Source organism: Homo sapiens, chromosome 10 (assembly GCF_000001405.40).
Source record: "Homo sapiens chromosome 10, GRCh38.p14 Primary Assembly".
Taxonomy (NCBI): domain Eukaryota; kingdom Metazoa; phylum Chordata; class Mammalia; order Primates; family Hominidae; genus Homo; species Homo sapiens.
Window position 1 is genome coordinate 2689007 of NC_000010.11, and position 5697 is coordinate 2694703.

The following is a 5697-nucleotide window of genomic DNA, read 5'->3' on the forward strand; positions in this document are numbered from 1 at the left end:
TCCACTCACCCATTCATCATCCATCTTCTCATCCAAACACCCATCCACTCATCCATCCATCCATCCATCCACTCATCCATCTATCCATCCATGTTTCCATCCATCCAGCCACTCATCCATCCATCCATCCTTTCATCCATCCATCCATCCCTCCATCCATCCACTCATCCAACCTTCCATCCATCCATCCATTCACCCACCTGTCCATCTATCCACCCATCCTTCCACCTGTTGCTCCATCCATCCATCCATTCGCCCATCTGTCCATGTATCCACCCATCCTTCCACCTGTCCCTCCATCCATTCATCCACCTATGTATCCATCCAACCATCCCAGCAAGGTTCTTGCCACTGAGTCACTGAAAGATACAGTGATGTGTATAGTTTTTATTGTCCTATTATTTCAATCAAATTCAGGGAGTCTAACAAGAGAAAAACTTATGCATGATCTATGAAAATTCAGAAAAATGCTCATCTATACAAAAATGTGTATGTATCTCCATTTCTGTCCATCACCAGATGAGATTATTTTGTGTGAGGCTTGAGAGAAATGGTGTTTATTCCTATTGAGTATGATGCATGTTTGGAGTAACATAAATTTAAGTGAGAAGTGTTATTTTTCCCAGTAAAATGTGGAGAAGAAGACATGCTAGGTATTGGTGGATGGTCCTACTCAATGCACACTTGTAAATCACACTGCCCATGGATGAACTTCACTCACCAGTCCTACTTTTTTCAAACCACAAAGCATTTGTATGCAATTGTTACTGACTGCCAATTTTCAGTTGCATGGGAAGTTCAGACAAATTTGCCAACTGAAACTCACCCCCAAAGTAGCTGACCTTATGTATTTATCTATCTGGCAAATATTTAGTGAAAACACTATTAACAGTAAACAGAATAGCTGATGTTTATTGAGCACTTGCAGTTTGCCTGGCACTATACCCGGTGATTCATACACACTATTTCATCGAATTCTTATGATAACCCTGTGAGATAAGTAATTTTATTATCATCCTATTTTTCAGATGAGAAAACTGAAGCTTTGAGAATAAGTACCTGGACTAAGGTCATGCAATGAGGAAGGGCCAGGCCAGATTGAAAGCTAAAGACGTGGGTGTCCATACCCCATGCCCTTCACCTGTGTGGTGACTGCCTTAATGATCAACTTTGTACTGGGCCCAACGCCGAGGCAAGTGAGCCAAAGGTCAGCAAGTCTAGCTCCCTGGAGGTGACACAGTGATGTATATAATTGTAAGTATATAATTTGTACATAATGCATATAATTTGTATATTGTAAATATATATATATACACACACACAAATGATGATGTATATAATTTGTATTGTTCTACTATATCATTGGTATTGATGCATATAATTGGTATTGTTCTATTGTTTCAATCAAACTCAGGGAGTCTAACAAGAGAAAAACTTATGCATGGTTTGTGAAAATTCAGAAAAAGTGCCTCATCTATGCAAAAAAAAAAAAAAAAACAAAAAAAAAAAAAACAATGTGTGGCCTGCAGATCCTCCAGGAAAGGAAGCTGGGCTGAGCCTGGGGTCAGAGTGTAGGCCATAGCCACAGGGGCATGGAAAACCAGAGAGCCCATGGGAGCTGCGCTGCAAGGCCCATTTCCGTATGTTCCTCCTAGGGGGTGCTTGGAACCTGGTGCAGTCCATCCGAGCTGCTGGACAGGCTGCGTCTACCATAGAGGCGGCTTCGGGGCACCAACTTCCACGTCCCAAAGGTCCTGACTTTCTGAACTGAGAGAATTCTGCTCGGAGCTGTGTTCCTAACTGTCAGGAGTTCAGGGTGAGTTGGTGTGACTTGGATAGAGCCGCTGCTTAAAAACTGATTCTGTTCAGGCTTCTCTAAAAGGTGGGGCAGGCCCTGGGTCTCCACCTCAACTTCCCTGCCATGCTCTGGGACCCGTGGCAGCCTGTCTCCCCCTCTGCGCCTGACACCCCAGAGACCCTGCTGTGGTCCAGTCCGTCCTCTCTCTACCCATGACAGAGGCTGAACAGTGGGCTACGTGTGACGGGATTCTGCTGTTTGCCAAAGAAAAGGAACTGCAAACGGGACTTGGGGGCGCATGTTTACCTAAGTCATACTTCTACAGATGCTCAGTAACACTTAAATAAAGCAATTAGATTATGCTACCTTCCAATAAAATTACTAAAATAACCTTTATTCAGAAAAAAAGTAAGTCATGTGTTCAAGTAATAGATGTTGAATAAATGAACATTTTAATAAATATGAATCCACTGGATTGGAGGAATATCGCATGGTCAACGAAACAATCCCATTTACAACTAAGAAGCAGTAGTCATGAAATTTTGTGTTTTATAAGAAAGATTATTTATTTAAAGAATTAAACTATAGGAAGACTAAAATTCTGTGAATTCTGTCCCCCACGTAAAAGGACAGTGACTCACTAGGGGCAGACTTAGCTGCACTGTCTCTCCATAGATCAGGTACTACAATAGACCTGCATAGACAATGCACATATTTATACCCCACTTTTATTTTATAAGGAGACAATTTTACCTGAATTAAAACTATGTTTGAAGGTTGACAATGCAATATTAAACCCAATATTAACTATTAGATGGCACTTCATATTTTCTTTCTAAAGTGTCTATACGTCGTCCATCCAGGGTAGACTTGGTAAGGAACATGGAGTCATTCATCCAGTCCTTAAGTGATGACCGCCCGGTTCACCGTAGACCAGCCAAAGTACAGCCAGGTGGCATTTTCTTTATTTCTGAAAATGTAATGCGTTGGATCATCTAATTTAAGTCTGTAATAAGTACAAAAATTATTTGTGTAAAAGTGATGATACTTGAACATATGCAGCACATGTTTGCAAGGAAACGACTAAAATTTGAGTTTGCCATTTTCTACCAGTAGTGAATCTTTCATCATTTCAATTAACATATTTCTTCAATATCAGCATCAGTGAGACAGGTTTGTGTATATATACCAGTATGGGAGTATATTATGTCCACACACAGATACATGCCCACATGCACACACACGCACACTACTCAGGGAATACACACACATCTCTTTGTATGGGATTTGTATGACGTATTTCCCAAGCTGAGTCTTCCCTTGGATCCTAAGCTAAGCCAAGACTATATGCTCTGGTCTGAGTTGTGCAGGACCCTTGGTTTTATGTAATCCTGCGCTTTCCTCAAGACTAAGGATTTGAGAGCCTGTGCCCTTGCAGCTTTCCCAGGGGAGCTGAGATGTGAATGTTAACACCTCTCAAGAGACCTCCTAGTCTATCCAGGCCTCTCTCATGATTCAGGCAGGAAACAAGCCTCTGATTATTGTGTGTTCCTTGAATGCTGCAGGAACCCCACGTTCTGAGGAGGTGGCTGCCATTTGGGACCAGCAGGGCTGGGTTCCCCAGGCGCTCACAGGGTCCCTGGTGCAGGGCCAGGACTCAGCACCACAGGCCATCACGGCAAACCACAGGAAAGAGGCAGAAAATAACAGAGACATCCTAGCCCGAGATTCACATGTAAAGGAGGGGAGAAATCACTGAAGAAAATGTCAAAAAGAGCTGAGGTGGGCAGATCACTTGAGGTCAGGAGTTCGAGACCAGCTTGGCCAACATAGTGAAGCCTCATCTCTACTAAAAATACAAAAATTAGTCAAGCATGGTGGCATGTGCCTGTAATCCCAACTACTCAGGAGGCCAAGGCGAGAGAATCACCTGAACCCTGGAGGTGGAGGTTGCAGTGAGCCAAGATCACACCACTGCACTTCAGCCTGGGAGACAGAGTGAAACTCCGTCTCAAAAAAATAAATAAATAAAATAAAATAGAATAAAAATAATAAAAAACTGCCAATAACAACAACAACAACAATAACCAGAAGAGTGAAGTGTTCACAGACCAAACCTAGAAATATGTTTTCTAAAAGAATACCAGGTAAAAATAGGCCAAATTGTGCCAGGTTAACCAGCAAAACTTCTGAATGAGCAAGATAATTTTTTTTTAATCCAGTGGTGTCAATAACCCTCCTCATCTAGCTCTAAGAGCAATGGGAAGAAAACAAAGGAAAAGAATTTTATTTCAAAATTCCTCCCATAACCACATGCTGAAAAGAACTTATTTCCCATAATACTTGAAATATATATTTCAAAAACAAAAAGGATAGAGATGAAATCTACTATGAGTGCTTTATAAGGATTAATTAATGATGTAATTTCTAGAAAACCAGGAATTACAACAATAGATTAACTATAGAAACCTAAAGATATTTTCTTCAAAATTACTTAGAATACAATTTCCATTTTTATCAAACTTTGAGACATTTAATACTCTCACTCTTCATTTCCTAATGGCATCAGTTTTAATGATTTATATAATTTGAAGTGGTTATTTTCCGTACTTCATTACTTCCTCCAAAATGATCATTGATTTCATAATTACTTGATATTTTAAGGCCTGAAGACATAATGTCCTTGAAAATGTTTTAAATGTCTTCTTCGAAGCAAAAATAAATTACAGGAACTTAGAGATGATTTATTTTTTCAACAAAGATAAAGATCATTTTATTTTATCTTAATTATGACTGTGTAGCAACATATCTTATTGAAGAAATCAACATGTAGCTTGTTAACAGAGCATAAAGTAAGGCATTTCTCTATAGAGTATGCAAATATTGTTGTATTTTATTAGAATGACCGAGCATTACCTGCAGACAACATTTTACCAACTGGTTTCTCTCTAGCGTCTCTCCCTCTTCTCGGATGCTTACCTTTTGTGTATATAATATGAGCTAACGTTTAAATTAGAAAAGTTTAGTTAATTTGATCATTCAATTTGTCAGTGGTTTTGTCACTTATTTAGGTACAAGTCTTGTTTTATAGACAAGCTTGAAAAATATATCAAGCTATACATTATTATACTACACATTTTTACATAAACAAAAAAGCCTACTACATATCAACAATTTTTGGGGGTGTTAGGAGAAGTGTGTGTTCTGTACTCTAGAGAACTTAAAATTTTAGATTACATAAGAGGGAAAATACATTTTATGAAGAGAATTGTACATATGGTCTAAATTAACATACATTTGATGATCACTAGGGTCTCATGGTTTAGAATTAGTAAAAATACCTGGGACTTTTCTTAGAAAACACCATTAGAAGATCAATATGTTATCTGTAGTGTAATGTCTATTCCTGCTTTAGACATGCAGTTCAGAATACCTGCTTTTAAACATTATCTGACTTTCCTTCTTTTTTGTCTTTCTTCTTCTGCCTGTCTATGGTGCTTATTTTCTTGGTGTGCATTTCTGATCATGTGTTTACATGAGTCAGTCTTAAGAAAAAAATTTGAGTACATTTCCATTCACAGGCATTATCTAGGAATATGTGCCAGGTAAGTTTACCCTACAGCGTGCTGCATATCTCCAGTATTACTGTCATCGACATACACAAAATAACGCATAAATAACTTCACTCTGCAAAACACACAGCTCTTCTTTCAATGCCTTCAAATTGCTACTATTACAAATCATCAAGTTATCTTCCAAATGGATAAAAACAACATGGTGAGCCAAGGTTCACATGTAGCCATTAGGACTTTTTTACGAAATAAAATTAGGTATAGTTTATAAGTAAATATATTAATACGAAGCTGGGAAAAGTTCTACTCACGTGGTTTAACTTTGTT